At 45.8% G+C, this 19,803-nt stretch overlaps 2 long non-coding RNA genes and 2 pseudogenes across 5 annotated transcripts in view; 2 read left to right on the top strand and 2 right to left on the bottom strand.

The window, feature by feature from the left end:
• LOC102723944 (uncharacterized) overlaps positions 1-19,803 on the bottom strand; it is a 102,009-nt gene that overhangs the window by 42,663 nt on the left and 39,543 nt on the right. The window contains exon 3 of the long non-coding RNA XR_427861.4: positions 6,511-6,623. This is a non-coding gene — a long non-coding RNA (uncharacterized LOC102723944). The remainder of the gene's footprint in view (positions 1-6,510; positions 6,624-19,803) is intronic.
• Positions 157-16,569, top strand: LOC124901238 (uncharacterized). 4 transcript variants are annotated; one of them, XR_007059399.1, is made up of 4 exons: positions 157-283; positions 2,389-2,602; positions 12,873-12,974; positions 16,424-16,569. It is a non-coding gene; the product is annotated as an uncharacterized LOC124901238 (long non-coding RNA). The 4 variants fall into 4 exon arrangements; XR_007059400.1 differs by lacking the exon at positions 16,424-16,569 and adding an exon at positions 15,103-15,342; XR_007059398.1 differs by lacking the exon at positions 16,424-16,569 and having other exon boundaries at positions 12,873-13,147.
• Positions 11,382-11,658, top strand: RN7SL352P (RNA, 7SL, cytoplasmic 352, pseudogene; annotated as a pseudogene).
• On the bottom strand, positions 16,401-19,625 carry ELF2P2 (ELF2 pseudogene 2; annotated as a pseudogene).

Genomic DNA, 19,803 nt, shown 5'->3' on the forward strand with positions numbered 1-19,803 from the left:
TTCCTACTGAGAGGTGGGGACAATTCCCTGCACCTTTTAAAGCTGAGTGGGCTCTTGGCTCCTCTGACTAGTAGAGTATGGTGGTGGAAATGATGCTGCATTCTACTGTGAGGTCACAAATAGCCCTACAGTTGCTCTTTGGAACCCTCGCTCTTAGATCCCCGAGCCACCGTATAAGAAGTCCAGCTACCCTGAGGCCGTGGACTGCAGCTGCACTCCAGTCTTTAAGCCCAGCTGTGCTCGGGTGTCTCACTTTCTACACCCCACCCTCAGCATCAGATATGTGAGTCTCAGACCACCCAGACTGGCCAGTCTGCCCACTGAATACCACCAAGTGATGCCAGGCAATTCCACACAGAGAATAAGAACCGCCTGGCTGAGCCCTGCCTGAAATCCTGACCCACAAAGTCATGAACTATATGTATATATATGACTGTTATTTTAAACCACTAGGTTTTGGAATAATTTCTTGTGCAGCAATGAAAAGCTAGAACACTGCCTGACCTCCTATACTGGTTTGCTAGGGCTGCCATAACAAAATATTGCAGACAGGATGGTTAAACAGAATTTTATTTCTCACCATTCTTGGGCTGGAAGTCCAAGATTTAGGTGTCTATGGAGTTGGTTTCTCCTGAGGTCTCTCTTTGGCTTGTAAGTGGTGTCTTCTCCCTGTGTCCTCACATCACCTCCCCTGTGTGTGTGTCTGTATCCTCATCTCCTCTTCTAATAATGACACCAGTCAGGTGGGATTAGGGCCCACTCTAAAGATTACATTTTTACTCCTTTGCTCCTGTAAAGACCCTATCTCCAAATAGAGTTACATTCTGAGGTACTGGGGCTTTGAACTTCAACATATAAACTTCGGGGGACATAATTCAACCCTCATACCTCCTTAAAAGGACGATTGACCTGTCTGTAATTCACATTCCCCAAGTACTGAGTTCTCACTGCTCTAGTAGGAATACCAACTCACTGCATATTCTTACTCAGACACTGGATAATCATATGTACTAAACTGAAATTGAAATACTATACAGGGACAAGAATGAAAGTTATGATTATGTGAACTCCTCCCTTGTGTACAATGGAAATACTGTGCCCACCTCCCGTGATCATGAGAATAGGAAAAGCCCCAGGGGTGTGACGACAACCGGCCAAGGAGGCTGGAGTCCTAGGTCACGCCTGCGCATGCTACCCCAGGGCCTCTTCTTCAGGGTGCTGGGGGGAGGGCCAAACCTGCCAGGCTGGAGTCCTAGGTCACGCCTGCGCATGCTACCCCAGGGCCTCTTCTTCAGGGTGCTGGGGGGAGGGCCAAACCTGCCAGGCTGGAGTCCTAGGTCACGCCTGTGCATGCTACCCCAGGGCCTCTTCTTCAGGGTGCTGGGGGGAGGGCCAAACCTGCCAGAGTTTTTCAGGCACCAGCACAGATGGCTGCCCTGTGAGCCTGGCTCCCACAGTCAGGCTGTTAGGTTAGGCACAAGTCCCACCTGCTGAAAAAAAGGGACAAACAGGATGCTCAGTGTTCCATTAAGGATCTCGCATTTCACTCAGCTCTGCAAGCTCCTGTCATGAATGACGTGTGTGATGCTGGGCCAGCCAGGCAGGGCCAGGGTGGGCAGCAGATGGGCACACTGACTTTCCCCTCTGCAGAGCCCAGAGCCAGGCCCGAGCCCCCCCAGCCTGACAGCAAAGTGCGCTTGGCAAGCAGAGCCCGTGTCTGGTTTATGTAGAGCAAGGAAACCACTGGCAAGCGGCTCTCTTGGCCAGTGCTGTGGGACACAACCTTGGCCCAGATTGCAGGGGTGTCTGGTACAAGCGAGGGGGGCTCTGCAGCATCCCGCAGGGAGAGTGCCTGTCCTTGGAGTAGAAGCTCAGTTCACAGCAACAGAGCTGAATCCTTCATCTGGGAAAGCTCTTTTTCCTCTGTCAGGTCACCTCACAGCATCCTCCCTACCACGTGGTTGTTTTCAACATTCAAGCTTCCCCAGGTGTCCCCTTTGTGTCTGCACTTCCAGCTCTCCTGTGCCTGTGTTGTGCTACCAAATTCTTCAAAAAGGGAACTTGCAGCCTCTCCCCTCAGCTCCGTCTGCCAGGCCCTGGCCTCAGATCCTGCTGGTCTGAGCTGGGCGCCTGTGGGATTGTGCCTTACTCACTGTTCCTGCCTCTGAAACCTTCTCATTTGAGATGGGCTGCTCTTCCTGAGGCCTGCAGGCCTGCAGCAATTTGTTAGGCACAGGGCAAGCACCCTTGGGTGTGACTGGGGGAGTCTGGGTCATAATGTGTGCTTTATCATTGGAGAGAGTCAGAGACCCAGGCCAATGGACAAATGCACCTAACCCCCTCAAAACTACTTTCTTTAATGCATGAGGTTATTTTCCTCCACCACAGACTCTATCTCAGAAGCAAAAAGCCATCCATGAACAAAGACCTGGGACCAAGCCGACTCATAATACTAGTGGGAAACGGCCCCACCAGCAGCCCGCACCTGCATCCTGCTCTCCCGCTGCCTCACTGGACCCTTGCAGTTAACTGGGACTTCAGCAGAGCAGAGCCTCATCTTACGGAGGTCAAGTGTCCCACTGCTGCAGGGCCTTCAACCTGGGTGAGACGTGGCCAGGGTGAGGAGAGGGCGGGATGTGGGCACATAGCCCAGTACTCTTTCCCAGGCATCTGCCATCTGGGGCCAGTGGGTCACACGAGCCTCCCAGCCCACACCACAGCAGCCATGTCTCATGCTCCCTCACCATGCGGGTCCGCCCACCCCAGATGCTCCCTCCAGCCCAAAGTGTTCACAGCACCAACATGACTCAGCTTCAGCAGAAGGCAGGGATTCAGGGCAAACACAGGGATGTGTTCATGGCATGACCCAAGCCACCTGTCCGTCACCTGTGCCCACTGTCAGTTTATCAACAGCTCCATGTTCACCCATTCATTGTCTACCTACAAAACATAGCTGGCCCACTAAGTATGCTTCTTTTGCCAGCTGGCAGTGCTAAGCTTTGTCAGTAGAGGGCATTAGAGAAAGATTATAGAAGGAAGGGGCTTTCTGTCCTGGTTCCAGTGGGCCCTCTTGTCGAGGCTCCTGTAGGACATGGCAGCCAGCAATCCCCAGTGGCCAGGGACTCCCTTCCAGACCTCCACCTTGGGTTCAGGCCTTTGGCAAGATGTCTCTTGGTGAATACCTTTCCCCTGATACTAGAGGGGAGATTTCTAGCAAGTTCTGAAGGATGGATTTCCAGAAAGTCCTCCCATACAGTACCAGAGCAGTTTCTCTGCCATTCAGGGAGGCATAACCATGGCTGATTAGATCTTTCTAACTAGGTTTGAACCTCAGGTTGGGGAACAGGAGCCCTTTCTTGGGAAATGTATCTCAGCCCATGGGGGGCTGGCCACTCCTTATATATATGCTATTTCTTTACTCTTGAGTCCACTTCTAACTAGCCAATCCTTCAGGACGCCAGTCCCCTGTTATGTTAATAATTATTTTTGTTGTTGTTTTCTGTTTTGAGATGGAGTCTCGCTCTGTCACCCAGGCTGGAGTGCAGTGGCACGATCTCGGCTTACTGCAGCCTCCACCTCCCGGGTTCCAGTGATTCTCCTGCCTCAGCCTCCCACTGGGATTACAGGCACACACCACCACGCCCGGCTAATTTTTTTTGTATTTTTAGTAGAGACGGGGTTTCACCCTGTTGGCCAGGCTGGTCTTAAACTCCTGACCTCTGGTGATCTGCCCGCCTAGGCCTACCAAAGTGCTGGGATTACAGGCATGAGCCACCGTGCCTGGCTAATAATTCTTTATATTAAATTTTCCCTGTTCAAATTTCCCTGTTGGGCCCTGGCTGATACACTGACTAAGGGGCTCCCTTTTTCCCTCTGAAAAGCAGTGTGGGTTTCCTAGATTCCAAAAAGGGAGACCAAGTCTTTGACAGAGGCAGAAATCATGCCACACTAGGGATAACTGGCTGGAATCGAGGGCGGCTGGAGGACATTCTAGCAGATGTGAGCCGCTGCCTTTAAGTTCCCGGGGAGCTGGCTTTGGAAACAGACTTGGCCTTGTTCTGTTGGATTCAGAAGTCAGATAGAGAGACAGCCAGGAGGCCAAAGCTATGGGGGAGGATTCCAACTCCACATACGTGAGGCCCTTCTCATCATTCTAGCTGTTTGAGCATGAAACACTTGACTTCAGCCAGGCCCGAGCCTGCTCCAGCACACGCGCCTCAGGAGGGAGGTACAGGCTGGACAATTGCCTTCAGAGGACGATATGGAGGGTTTGGGGTATGATGAAGAAGATTTCTAAGAATCAATTATGCTGAGAAATTTTAACAAATATAAGGCAGAGCATTACAATGATAAAACAATAAGAAAATACTAAAGAGTAATGTTAGACACTTCTAACCTAAGATCTTGGTCTCCATGTCATTCTAATAATGACATGTATTTGGCCAATGGATTAATAAAGTTGTTATTAAAAGTTTCTCTCCAGTTTTTACTATTGTGGTATAATGTATCTAGCTGGATAAAAGTAATGTATCAATAATCACACAGTTATGTTGATGCTCAAAATATACTGAACTGTATGAGCGAAATAACATTTTCAACTAAGGTAAGCACAGTATTGCCAGAATTTATATATTGTATAGATCTACAATTTAATTTTCAATTTGATCATAAAATCTCATTTGCTGTTTTTTATCTTAGGAACCCAAGGGCTGTTTAACTTAGACATTTATGATGTACTAAAGGAATTGTAAGGCTATTTAAATAGTTAAGCATTAAGCGCGCATGAATTTACAGTTCTATAAATGTCCTCTTGAACTATATAAGATATGGTACTCCTGGATACCCAGCTGAGAAACCCAAACCAGTTTCACACTGCCAAATAATTCATTTTCAATCAGGAAGCAATGTTTTTATCTTCACAGATTTAAGTTCATGAGCTTGACCAGGACACAGAAAGAGTCTGATTAATCAATCTGGTAACTTAGCAAATATCTAGTACTTGTCTGAGGCCGGACACTCTGAATATAGCAGTGAGAAAGACAAACGCAGCCCCTGCCCTCATGGAGCGAAAACATCATTATTCATCTCATAAGTGACACAGGCTGAAAGTTAACAGGCTGGAACTAAGGCTGGGAGGAGGGAGGGCGTGTCGGGCACAGCCTCCATGGAGAAGGCACATGTCGGCTGAGCCCTAAAGGGTGGAGTGAAAGAGGTGAGGGGGATGTTTGCTGGGGGTGGGGTCGTTGCAGGTGGAGGAAACCTCATGTCTCACCACGTGAGAACACAGCCCTTCAGACCTGGCCGCGAGAGGCCAGGGAGGGTGGCGGGGACAGGAACACAGTGCAGATGGGCTTTACTCTTTACTTACATTTATCTTTATCCCACACATCTTTATTCCTTATCTGAGCATCATGACCCATCAAAATATGTGTGTGTGCGTGTGTGTGCACTCACGTGTGTGTGTGTGTGTGTGCACTCACGCGGGTATGTGTGTGTTGGGTCCAGATGTAAGAAGTCTTCCTTAAAATTGACACGAGTCAAAACCTGAAAAATATGGCTTTCTCCTGAGTGAACTGGGAAACTATTGAAGGCTTTTGGGCCACAATGCTGACCAGATTGCATTTTAAAAGTTCTACCCTGGGGCCAGGTGCGGTGGCTCATGCCTGGAATCCCAGCATTTTGGGAGGCCCAGGCGGGTGGATCACCTGAGGTCAGGAGTTCAAGACCAGCCTGGCCAACATGGTGAAACCCCGTCTCTACCAAAAAAAAGTAACAATTAGACGGGTGTGGTGGTGGGTGCCTGTAATCTCAGCTACTCGGGAGGCTGTGGCAGGAGAATTGCTTGAACCTGAGAGGCAGAAGTTGCAGTGAACCAAAACCGTGCCACTGAACTGAGGCCTGGGTGACAGAGCAAGACTCCTTCTCAAAAAAAAAAAAAAGTTCTACCCTGGTAGCAGAGAAGAGAAGGGACTGACGGGGAATGAGACTGGAAGCCAGGGAAGGGGCTGCAGTGGAGAGAGCTGGTGCTGTCCCACATCCGGGTCGTGCCAGTGGGGGTGAAGGAGACGTGGATAAGTGTGAGAACTATTCAGGAAAGAGAAACACCAAGATTTGGCGGTGAATTAATATGTGAAATGAGGTGATGGGAGGAGACTGGAGTCAGTCTCCCAGGAAGCCGGCCTGACAATGGCTTGTACGGTGGGGCTGCTTTCTACAAAAGGGCATCCTGGGCAGGAAGCAGGCTTGGGAAATGTCAAGTGTGAAGTCCTGTGAGCTGTTAATCTGGAGATGTTGAGCAAGTCGTCGGATATGTGGTCTGGAGTTTGGAGAGACAGACAGGATTGGAATGAGGTTTACTCAGCAGTTAATTCCCAAGCCCGTACTCTTTGCCAGATGCTGCACCTTATGTTCTAGACCTCCATTAGTAAACGAACAGGTGCTAACACTGCCACCTGGAACCCAGAGCAGCTGCCATTTAAATGGAGCAGAGGTACAGGGATGGATACTTACCTAGGGTGAGTGTTTTCAGTATGTTGAAATGGGCTGCTACACCCATGATTGAAATAGAAGAATACTCAGCAGAAGGAGACCGAGACATGGAAAAACCAGCAGCATGTTCCGTCCTAAGAGACAAGGAAACAAAGCATTGCCAAGAGGTGAGTGCGGGTGTCCAAGTCGATGCAAATATCAAATTGAAATGACAGATGTCGCCCACGTGATGGAGGTACTAACAATTTTCTCTCCTACTTCCCAGGTATGCTCTGAGGATGAATAAGGGAAGAAATATTAAAGCCCTATAAATTTCAGGATAGAAATTGCATATAAAATAGTTTTCATTATCTTTATTATCATCATTGTAACGGTAATGTCAAAGGTCAATGCCAGGAACCACAACTGTAAAAAGTTAAAGTGCCACCATCCATGATGACTTTTAGAAACAGAACAGGGGGCTATATGAAAAAATAAAACATAGTGAAACTGTAAAAAGAGAAAACAGAAAAATAAATCAGGTTCATATTTCCTGGCATTCCCAGTAAATGGTAGCTATTTATTTGTTGATGTGTTTATTTATTTACTGTTCTCCGTATGAAGATGTGTAGAATGCAATTAGTGCTTTTCTGATATTGAATAATCTCACAAATCAAAGAACTCCCACTTTCTTGATGGCTAAGTCTCATGAACACAGAGAAGCTATCAGAGAGCTTCATGCCAGAGAAGTTAGCTCACAGGGCTTTGACTCCTGAGATGCTGCACTGCGAGACGGAATCCTACATCCCTAGGATGAAACCTAAGCAGTATAATCCCGTGAGACAAGGTGGAAATGTAAAGTGTAACGATTGTCATTGTTGTTACTAATGGTCTCTGTGATAATTGGAGGACACTCAGGACAGATGGCAGCTAACTGTAATATGGGACCCTGGATTGCATCCTGCAACAGAAAAAAGGACATTAATAGAAAACCAACCAAGGTCTGTACTTTACTTAATATTGGACTAATGTTAATTTCCTGATTTTGACCATTGTAATACAAATGTGTCAGATGCTAACATTAGGGGAAGCTGGATGAAAGGTATACTGAACAGGAATTCTCTCTGCTTTACCTCACATCCATGACATCAGTCTAAGTCTTCAACATATTTTCATGCTTCAATTGGCTTTGGCTGTTTCTTCAAGTTTTTCTGCACCTCCGCATAGCAACTCACCTCATTTGGACCTACTATACTAGAAGAAGCCTGGACTCCATGCACGAGCTTGTAACAACAAGTGAAATAGCATCACTGGCTCCTAAAAATCATGAATCTATCTTTTTACATTTTATTGTTTTAAATTTATTGCCTATTACTCCAAGAATTATTTTTGTATGCTTGTTTTTAAAATATCTATGTCAAAGTATTCTCTGCACTTAGTCACTTTCTGTGTACCAATCTGCAAATGGTCCAGTTTAGCGTATAAACCATCTCAACTGAGGAAGACTTTGTCAGTGCTCACACCCACACATATAACACCCATCTCCATGTGCTACTAATTCGCCTGGCAAAAACATGTTATTAAAACAATGCATGTGTGCAAAACATTGAAATTGCCTCTTTTTGTGGTGGTATCATAAACAATGAAATCTGACTGTATCATCAGGAAACACTTGCTCTCCCGTCTCAACTCACATTATTATTTGTAAATGTACTAAGTGTTATAAATGGAAAAGTTTGCCAAAATCAGCAAAGTCCATTAAAAAAAAACAGCCTGGATATTTGGCTCTGAAAACCTTCTCTGGCCAAATCCTTAAGTCTTTTTTCCTGCTCAGGACTTGCATGAAAACCACAAGAGGGCCTGTATTGAAGCCTATGGGCTGGGAATCCCAGTAGCAGCAGCACCAGATGGACCAGAAGAGACCCTCAGCAACAGGGAAGCCCCTTTATCTAACCTCTCCTAATGTAAATGCATTTCCTCAGTGCATAATGCACTGCAACGTCTCACTTAGACACAGAAAAATGAATTCCATGGAGGGAAGCATTATCTAGAATAACCTTGATTTAACAAGAATGATTTCATTGAGCAAGCATTGACCCATCCATCTGAAGAACAATTTGCTCAAAGAAACCACTAATCAAGAACTGCTCCAGTCAAAACGCTAACGAAGTAAGAAAGCAGCCTGCTGGTTTGGGACTGGGAGAGTGCAGAGCGCTAAGACCACGCTGCCTGCCAAGAGGCCGTGCCTCGCGTTTGAATCCCAGCAGTGCTGCCGGAGGTGGCATTGATGGATCCGCATGTCCAAGCCAGAACTGAAGACACTTCTCAGGAGGATAGCAAGTGACCTGCATGCCAGAACATGTGGTTTTCTTTACAAGGCTTTCCACCTCTGCATTCTCCATTTTCTACTTAGCAGAAACTGTGCACGCTACATGTTTTACAGGGCATACAGGGTGGCCTAATCCCATCCAGTCACCAAAAACATGTAGTTTATTTTTCCCTGCAAGACTGTCTTGAACAGCATGGCATCCCTCCATGTTCAGGTGAAGCACTGAAGAATGAAGCTGGTGGGGAGCAAGGAGGCACCAGTGAAGCAAGTGTTACAAACTGCAAGATGGAATTCTGCTTAAGCAGAATGGAGAAGCCATTAAAGCCAATAATTCATGTTAGGATCCCTGAAAGGATTCATTTAGTTCTGCTAGCTACATAAAGATAGTCCCTCCAGAGCACAAATATGTAGCATTTGTTAAAAACAGTATCAGTGAAACTAGATGGTCAGAAATGGAAAAATAGGGCACCAACTTCCTTGTACCCCCTCCCAGACACCCAGACTGGCTGCCTCAGGAAGAACAAGGCTATCTGGCCTCCTTGCCTCAGACTTGGGTGCAGGGAGCCCAGAAGGTCCCAGGTGGCACTGGGATGGCCGCAGGGGGACATCGGCACACCCTGGAAGGTGACCCTCACCTCGTAGTGATGGAGTGGAGCTCTTTGTCCCATCCTCAGCCACCCTCAAGATGCAGAAATGAGCAGACAGAGCAGAAAGCGGCACAGACAGCCAGGGGAGAGTTTCCTTCTGTCCAGACACAGGCACGGCACAAACAGGGAATACCTGGTGTCTCCCCCATCACTTTCCTTTTGCTCAGATTAAAGAAGAAAACTGGAAACCACCGTTATCTAGGACATAGCAGCTCTGCTAGCAGTGAGCCAGGGCCACATGTGGACTGCGTCAGAGTGGTCAGGAGCATGAGATTTGGGGACAGAGAAGGGCATTGGGACAGGGGCTGCATCCACGCATTTGCTTCAATTCCCTCTCCTGCCAGAATCAGACAATCAGATCTGGTTTTCTGTTGTTGTTGTTTTAATGGAGATGGGATCTTGAGCTTCCAGCACCTTCTTTATTAGTGTAAATATCTCCGTCAGTCCCCACCAGCTAAAATTACATTGAATGGAATGGGACTCAAGGCCAGCACCCTTGTGTTAGATGAGGGACCCCTCCATGAGTCCTGTCTCTCGAACCCCATATCCGACCCATGAGCGGGTCCCGTAACTCTACCTTCCAGATAGCACCGAAGGCAGCCAGCACTTGCCAGTTCCACCGCTGTGCCCCGGGCTGACCACCCAGCTCTTCTCTTGCCTGTGTGCTATATGGGCTTTCTAATTGGTGTCCCTGGGTCCTTCCTTGCACCCTTCATCCTAATCTCCACACAGGAGCCAAAGCAACGCTGTTAAAATATGTGTCTGATCACACCAGCCCACTGCTCAGAACTCTCCAAGGGTTGTGAGCCAAGCAGAGTCTTACACGGGTGGCGAGGCCCTGTGTAACTGGATCGTTATTTCTCTGAACTCTCTGTCTATTCTTCTTGCTCAGGCCACCCCAGCCATTCTGTCCTTGTAACTCCTTGAACTTTCCAGGCATGGTCCCCCAACAGGGCCTTTGTACCTGCTGCTCCCTCTGCCTATAAAGTTTATTTCTGAGGCTCATTTCTCATCTCTTCCCAGTCTTTATTCAAGCATGCACCCCACACCCCCCATTGCCTTTTCCTGGCTTTATTTCATTTATTTATTTATTTTGAGATGGAATCTTGCTCTTGTCGCCCAGGCTGGAGTGCAGAGGCACGATCTCGGCTCACTGCAACCTCTGCCCTGGCTTTATTTTACTTCATAGCCCCTGTCACCATGTAACAAGCTATTGACTCCACTTATTTACCTTGCTTACTATCTGTTTCCCTCAACCAGGATTTGAGAATAACAAAGACAGGCATCTGTTTGCTTATTTTGTTCCATGACGTATTCTGAGAGCCCAGAACAGTGTCTGATATACAGTTAATGCTCAGCAAATCACTGTTACCTTCACCGGTGGGATGAATAAATGTTGAAGGAATCACAGCAATCAGGCAGGATACAAGAGCACTGAAGAGCAGGCAAGAGATGCTGAGAACCCGCTGGTTCTGCAGGACAAGGCATTTCTCGATCTTTTGGTTAAGAGTGGGCAGAAGAGGCCAGTCGCAGTGGCTCACGCCTGTAATCCCAGCACTTTGGGAGGCCGAGGTGGAAGGATCACTTGAGGTCAGGAGTTCGAGACCAGCCTGGCCAACATGGTGAAACCTTGTCTCTACTAAAAATAGAAAATTAGTCGGGCTTAGTGGTGTACACCTGTAATCCCAGCTACTCAGGAGGCTGAGGCAGGAGAATCACTTGAATCCAGGAGACAGAGGTTACAGTGAGCCGAGATCATGCCACTGCACTCCAGCCTGGGCAAAAAGAGTGAAATTCCACTCAAAAAAAAAAAAAAAGAGTAGGCAGAAGCACCCTCTAGCACAGCATTTCTCATCCAGCAGGCTGCCCATTAGAGGGTCCTGAGATCATTGCAATGGGCTGTGACCACCAATATAAAGAAAATTTTAAAAGAAATAGCCAGCCAGGGTGGCAGGTGCCTGTAGTCCCAGCTGCTTGGGAGGCTCAAGGATTGCTTGAACCCAGGAGTTCTGCCCTGCAGTGCGCGGTGCCCATCGGGTGACACCCATCAGGTATCTGCACTAAGTTCAGCATGAAGAGCAGCGGGCCACCAGGCTGCCTAAGAAGGAATGAACCAGCCTGCTTTGGAAACAGAGCAGCTGAAACTCCTGTGCCGATCAGTGGTGGGATCACACCTGTGAGTAGCCACGCCTGCCCAGGCAACACAGACCCTGTCTCTTGCAAAATTAAAAACTTAAAAATTAAAAGAAAAGAAATACATAAATTAATAAAAATCAAATTTTAAAAAATTTAAGGAAATAGAATTTTTAAAATTGGAGTAAATCACATATAGTAAGAATAAGTATTATTTCAAGAAATTTCTGTTTCCAATCCACACACACATATAAGTGTCAGATTGTTGCAATGTAAAATGTATTGCTTATCATAGTTCTCAGTCAAAAAAGTTTGGAGGCTGGGTGCGGTGGTTCACGCCTCTAATCCCAGCACTTTAGGAGGCCTAAGCAGGAGGATTGCTTGAGGCCAGGAGTTCAAGTTCAGCCTGGGGAACATAATGAGACCCCATTTCTAAAAAATAATTTTTTAAAATTAACCAGGCATGGTGTGTGTGCCTGTAGTCTCAGCTACTTGGGAGGCTGAGGCAGGAGGACTGCTTGAGCCCAGGAGGTTGAGGCTATATTGAGCCGTGCTTGCACCACTGCACCCCAGCCTGAGCGAGAGTGAGAACCTGTCTCAAAAAAAAAAAAAAAAGTTCTCTATTCCCCGTGACCAAAAGACTTCAGGAGTTTAAAGTATTTTCTGGTTTGAATCATGATTACGATGTTGTTATTGTATGCAACTAATGAAAACAACATAAATGTTATAAATGCTGATTTACAAATTGTGTTAATGCAAGGAGGAAATTTTAATTGGAAATGTATCACTCATATGATGAATGTTCTTTTTTTTTTTTTTTTTTTTTTTTTGAGTTGGGCTCTCACACTGTCACCCAAGCTAGAATGCAGTAGCGTGATTGTGGTTCCTTGTAGAACTCCTGGGCTCAAGGGATCCTCCCGCCTCCGTCTCCCAAGTGGCTGGGACTGCAGGTGTATGTCACTACACTCACTCTATTTTTTGTAGAGATGGAGTCTTGCTGTGTTGCTCAGGCTGATCTCAAACTCCTGGGCTTAAGTGATCCTCTCAAAGTGCTGGGATTACAGGTGTGAGCTACTGCGTCCAGTTTGAATTTTCTCATTTTAAAATGTAACAGGATAAATATACCACTGCCAGAATGCAACATAGCTCGGAATTAATTCTTTTCCTACTTTTTGTGCTTTGTAGATATAACTTCTGGAAAACTCCATCACAAAATTAAGCTGATGGGAATGGAAAAGGTTTGTTATTGAAATGTCCGTCAATTCTCCTAATTCTTTCCTCATTTTATTCCCCAGATCATCCAGGTCTTCACAGGACTCCTCCCCCAGAATGATGCCTCCTTTGACAATAGCTGGAGATGTCAGAAATGAGATCATTACTCAGCACTGGATGCAGTGGTGCGTGTCTGTGTTCCCAGCTACTCAGGAGGCAGAGATAGGAGGATCACTCGAGCCCAGAAGGTGGAGGCTGCAGTTAACTTTAATCTGCACCACTGCACTCCAGCCCAGTTGACAGAACAAGACACTGTTTCTTAAAGAATAATAATAATAATAAATTTAAGTCTGGAAAATCTGTTATAGGTAATACCCCTGGCGTAGCTGAAATACTCACATTTTAACGGTTCTGGAGAGAGAGATCTTCCACGGCCTTTTTGGTGCTCCCATTGTGTGTGCTTACGTAGGGTGAGCTTGTGGTCAACATTTCTCCAGGGCTCTGCTCATTTTTCTGTATTTTTTTCTTTCCGTTCTTCAAGCTGCATAATCTCTACCTATCCTGTATATCTACCTTCAAAGTTTGCTGATCCTTTCTATTTGAACAACTCAAATCTCCTGTTGAGCATTTCTAGCGATTTTTAAATTTTTGTCATTGTGCTTTTCCATTCCAAAATTCCCATTTGGCTCTTTTTTGTAATTCCTCTCTTTAGTGACGGTCTCTATGTATGAGTCATTGCTATCAAACCCTTTTAAAATTATTTACACGTGGTTTCCTTAGTCCTCTGAAAACATTTGCAATCCTACTTTGAGTATGCACCTGCTTGGTCCAACATCTGAGCCCCCTTAAAGGCAGTTTCTATTGCCTGTTGTTTTTCCTGGGTATCAGCTATTCTCTGTTTCTTTGTAAGCCTAATTTTTTGTTGAAAACTGGACATTAAATAGTACCTTGTAGTAACTCTGGATACTAACATCCCATTTGGTGGCTTGATTTTTTTTTTTTTTTTTTTTTTGTCATTTTGGTTGTTTACTTGATTAGTGACATGGCTGGGCTGAATCTGTGAAGTCTTATTTCCCTTGCAGTGTGATGTCCTGGCTCAGCTATTTTCCCCTTGAGTATGTCTTTTACCCCAGCATCCTAGGGTTCACCCTGGGTCTGCATAAACCACTTATTGGTAAAAGACTGTGCTTAAGCTGCTTAGCCAATTAGATTTTCACCTTTAGCACTGCGTCTGTGTGTGGCTGCAGACTGCTTTCACTGCTCAGATAGTTCATGATTTTGCCCTGCATTTAGCCAGCGTCTGGTAGCTCAGAGTTTCTCTTTCCCAAAAAGGCGTAGCCTTCGGCGTGTGCACAGTCTTCCAAATGACCAGGAATCGGTATGATTTTATTTTTAGACCTGGCTTCCTAGGAGTCAGCCTTGGGTCAGAGTAACTGTTGTTTAGCCAGTGTGTGGTCAGAGGCTGTGCTCAAGTCCCTGGAGCCAGAAAGGCTCAAGGTCCCTTAATGATGCATCTTCTATTGCTGGGCCTGGAAGCTCCTTCCTACCAATGAGCTGGAGTAGGGCAATCGAGCCCCTGTATTCTTTGTCCTGGGCAAAACTCTCACCCTACAAATGGAGGCTATGTGACGAGGGAAGTCCCAGTCCTCCATGCTGAGCCCACCAGGTAGCATTTCCACATCATAAGCCTGGGGAAGACAGGATATGCACATGGCCCTCCCCCACTGGTGTGAAGCTGGAGTTTGGACTGGGAGCTGAGGGTAGAGGGAGTCCCCACCACACAGAGCTGATGAAAAGGCTGTAGGGGTACAAGCCCTGGCTCAAATGCCATAGACTCTTGCTATTTTGATTGAGATTTCATAGGTTTTCTTGAATGACGTTTTCCCTTTGCTGTTTGCCCTTAGAACAACTACTAGAGGCTTTAAATGGTTGTTGGTTTATGTTTTACCTTTTAATTAATTTTCTCCAGTTAAATGGTTGCTTTGCTGAGGAAGTCCTGCCCCCTGGGCCTTTTGTACAATCCACATCAAGGTCTTACCATGTGAAAGTGACTTTCTGTGTGGAACTCAAGCCTAATGTGCTGGGGCCAGCCTGCTACCTTTCAGCAGGCACCTGTTCAATGGGGCACCCCCAAACTCAAATCTCCTGGGCCTGACACAAAGAGGAGCCAGAGGAGAACGAGGAGGAATGGGACACAGCTCTTGCTCAGGGGTGGTAGGACCCAGTGGTCGAGAATTCAGTCCCAGACAATACATATTTACTGATGGAGTTCCCCACTTCAGACCTGATGTACTGCCTGTTTTCTTCCACCAGACATGAGGACCAAGCAGATGAGTTTTGTTTATTCTGTCCTGTGCTGTATACCCAGAGCCTGGAACAGTGCCTGGTACACAGTAGGGCACCTGCTGACCGGGTGCAGTTCATGGCCACCACCTCTAGCTACCTGTGATTGGAGATAAGACAGTAATGAGGCCAGACTTCTTCAAGAATCCTTTGAGCTTCCTAACACACAGCTGTGCAGCCTGTGCTGCGTTACTTACCATAGCCCCAGCTCCAGCCCAGGAGGACTCCCACCCGACTCTGTGGCAAGTTGGACGGAGCACCACAGTTGCAGTCACATGTCAAGCCATAACACTGGCAGAGCTCCTTGAGAAAGCTGCCTCCTCTGCCACAATGCACTCCTGCCTCAGTGCCTTGTGTGTAAGAGAAGAGCCAGGCAGAGGAGATGCTTCTGCCTTCATCCCAGGAGATGGGCTTGAACTGCATGGGTCCACCTAGACATGGATTTTCTTCCATCTCTGCCACCCCCGAGACAGCAAAACCAACCCCTCCTCTTCCTCCTCCTTCTCGGCCTACTCGATGTGAAGATGAAGAGGATGAACACCTTTGTGATGATCCACTTCATGAACAGTAAACGTGTTTTTCCTTCCTTGTGATTTTCTGAATACCATTTTCTTTTCTCCAGCTTACTTTAAGAAAACAGTACATCATGCACATACAAAATATGTGTTAATTAAAGACTTTATGTTATCAGTAAGGCATCTGGATGACAGCAAGCTATTCATAGGGGAATCAAAAGTTATACTCAGATTTTCAGCTGTGCAGGGATCGGTGCCTCTACCCCCACACTGTTCAAGGGTCACCTGTATATCCACTTTATTTTTTTAATATTTATTTTTATGTCAACAGTTTTTGGGGAACAGGTGGTTTTTTGTTACATGGATAAATTATTTAGTGGTGATTCCTGAGATTTCGGTGCACCTGTCACCTGAGCAGTGTCCCTTACCCCCTCCCACCCTTCTTTCCAAGATCCTAGAGCCCATTATATCATTCTTATGCCTTTGCATCCTCATAGTGTAGCTTCCACTTATAAGTGAGAACATACGATATTTTGTTTTCCATTCCTGAGTTACATCACTTAGGATAATGGCCTCCAGTTCCATCCAAGTTAGTGCAAAAGACATTGTTTCATTCCTTTGTATGGCTGAGTAGTATTCCATGGTGTATATATACCACATTTTCTTTATCCACTCGTTGGCTGATGGGCAGTTATGTTGGTTCCATATCTTTGCAATTGCAAATTGTATATGTACTTTATTTTTATTATTTTTTAAATTTCATTTCTAAATTTCAGAAAACCTACTTAAATACACTTTGAAACAACAGTCCAACAAAATAGAACAGACTTCAAATGTTGAATATACAAACCATTATAGTTCAAATCTGAACACTGGTACTTTCCGTCATAAACTTCAACTAAAACAAAAAAAAAGAAAAGAAAGAAAGGAAGAAGGAAGGGAGGGAGGGAGGAAGGGAGGGAGGGAGGAAAGAAAAGAAGAATAGAAAAGGAAAAGAAAAGAAGGAAGGAGAGCGAGAAAGAAAGAAAGAAAGAAGAAAAGAAAGAAAGAAGAAAAAGAAGAAAAGAACGAACGAAAGAAAGAAAGAAAGAAAGAGAAAGAAAGAAAAAAGAAAGAGAAAGAAAGAAAGAAAGAAAGAAAGAAAGAAAGAAAGAAAGAAAGAAAGAAAGAAAGCAAGCTAGCTCACTCCAGGTATTAGAGCTACCTAACAAAAAGTCATGCTGATCCTGAACTTCCAAGTGACAGTAGAACTGAAACTGATATGGCTGCAGAAATGCCAGGGCTAAGCGAGTGACACAGACATGTTATAGCAAAAGGCCAGGGCCAACTGTTAATTTGTCCACAATTAAGAAACACAGACTTAAACTACCATATAAAATCTTACATGTAAACTCTGTAACAGTACTGTGCTAGGTACAAGATTTTAAAATTTTTTCATTTTATAAAAAAGCTTTACACAAACAAGCCATTAGTTTATTTCGAGAAAGAAAACCGAAAATTAGTCTAAGGCCTTTGTTTTAAATCAGCTTAAGCTATATCATCTATATATATATTTTAATCACACCAGACCTTTTTTTGCTATCCTCTTTCTGAAGTTTTTGGATCCATTCTTCAATTCACATTCTAAAATACATATATTAGGACAGTGTTCACATAGCACCAGTTGAGTACTGTGCAAACACAGTAATGATTGCTGGTACACACATAAAATGCATCAAAAATTGCTATATGTAACAATGAGATCACCCATCCCAACCCCTCCCCACTGACACAGAAAACTATATAACCTCTTACAGAATTTTAGTGTTCAAAGTCTTAGTGTAACTTGATATCTTAGTGAGCTGCTTGGTCCCTTTCAATCCTTTTTCTTAGCGACGGGTTCAGTTGTTTTTCCTACTGGAAGAGGCAGTTTTCTGTCAGCATCTCAATACATAGTTTATTTCCCACTGAAACATGGGATAGGTAATTTATTTCCAGTAAGTTCGCTTGTTTTCTTACATGCATTAAACATGTTTTAAAGTCTTCTTTGACTTTTCTTGATGACTTCCCTTGCCAATGTTTATGTCAGTACTGCCACTAACAGCCTGAAGTCCATGGTGGGGCTGCTATTTTATTTCTCACATGTCACTAGTCCTTCTGTTTTCATAGTTACAGGAAGGGCAGTAGCTGAAGGCACACTGACAACCACTACATGGGTCACTGTCTTATTTCCATCAGCCAGTTTTTCTTCTACGAACTGCAAAGTTTCCACATCACGTTCTTGCTTTTTTGCCACTGCTTTTGATTTAACCTCCGGCCCCTGTATGACTACACCGATAACTCGAGGAGGAGTCTGCCCAGATGCCTGCTGAGGAGGCACTGATAGTCTCATTACGGCTGTACCATGGGCTATTGAGACAGGGGTAACGGCTCTCACAGCCAATGGAGCTCCAACAATGTGAATGCTTCCTGATCCAGTCAGATTTGACTTTGCAGTTGACACTGAGCGAGCTGTGTAGCTGGGATGGAAATAATTTGGGGACACTGCATGGTGATTTTGTTTCCATTTTCGGTAGAAGCTGGCATCACAGTAGGGATTGCCTGAATGACTGCCTTTGGAGAGGTGGCTGTTGTTGGACTAGTGCTGATTATTAATGGTGCACCTGCACTATTTGACTGAACTGCCACAGCTGAAATTTTCTGGCCCAATGACGTCATTACAACAGGTACTTGCATTGCCACACGAACTGTCCTTGGAGCTGCTGTTGCTGATACAGATGCAGTGATAGCAGGAGACCTGGATGAAGCATCATGACCAGGGGAAGTGATACTCACAAATCTAGCCACACCCTTCTCTGCTCTGGAGCAGTTTATAGGGGATGAATTTCTTCCACCATGAACAGAGGATGCTGCTTTCAGGAGACTTTCTGCAGACAGTGACATTGTTCTAATAATTTTTCATCCATAGCTCCTGCTAAGTCTTCATTACAGGTTTCACTTTTTTATCGTCTATGACCACTATGTTTTTCGGCATATCCTTGAACTGATATACAAGCCTCTGTCCTTCAATCTTTGCAAGAATTCCCCTTTGGTAATAGTATCTCAAAGCTCGTCCCATGGTTTCATAGTTCACGTCTGGTTTGTTCTTATGCTTTCCCCAAAGCTTAGAGACAGCTTTTGAATCCACCAGCTTGAATATGCCTTTTTCTCTCTGAGGCCATTTAATATACCGGGGACAAGTATTTTTATCTTGAAGTAGATCTAAAAGAAACTCCCACAAATAGGTTGTGTTTCCTTTTCCTTCTCTCAGTTTCTTTATACCTAACTCAGGAGATCCACTGGAAATTGGTGATTGCTGGGTCTTTGGTTTATGGCCAACTGTTTTCTTTTTCCTTGGTTCACAGCTATCTGGTGATGTAGGAATAGGAGAGGTATCCATTGGTTCAGACTCTTCAGTTGACGCCTCCACTGTAGTTTCTGTAATGACATCTGGCCTCATAGCAGCATGGATAAATTCTGGAGTTGATACACAGGAGGGACAAATACTTCCACAGGACTTCTCGAATCCCTCAAGCAGGTAGGAGATTCCACATGAAGCAGGGCTTCAGCAGCTTCGACTGTCTTATCTGTACAGTGTACATTACTGCTGTGAGCAGATGCTTCCACCCCCGAGATGAGCAGATCCAGCTGGTTCATGGGTCCCTCATGCAGAGACGTTGCCACGTTCATCCCGGGGCTGGAGCTGCTGCTTCACACTGACTTACACGGTGAGCAGCGGCGGCAGGGGAGGAGGTGGAACCCGCGGCGAGCTGCTGCTTCACACTGACTTACACCGTGAGCAGCGGCGGCAGGGGAGGAGGTGGAACCCGCGGCCGGAGACACACGCCGTGGGGTCGGTCAACACACACTCACGCACTTGCACACGCTCCAAGGCCCGGAAGGAAGCTGAGGCCGGCCCGCCTCCCGCCAAAGGGCCGAGGAATCCCGCCACCTAACGGCAGGGGCAGGGGCCACAGCTGGCAACGCCTACTTTAATTTTAAAAATAATCACTGGGGCCTGGAGCAGCGGCTCTCGCCTGTAATCCCAGCACTTTGGGAGGCCGAGGTGGGCAGATCACCTGAGGTCAGGAGTTCGAGTCCAGCCTGGCCAACATGGTGAAACCCCGTCTCTACTAAA

The sequence above is a fragment of the Homo sapiens genome, chromosome 6 (assembly GCF_000001405.40).
Source record: "Homo sapiens chromosome 6, GRCh38.p14 Primary Assembly".
Lineage (NCBI taxonomy): Eukaryota > Metazoa > Chordata > Mammalia > Primates > Hominidae > Homo > Homo sapiens.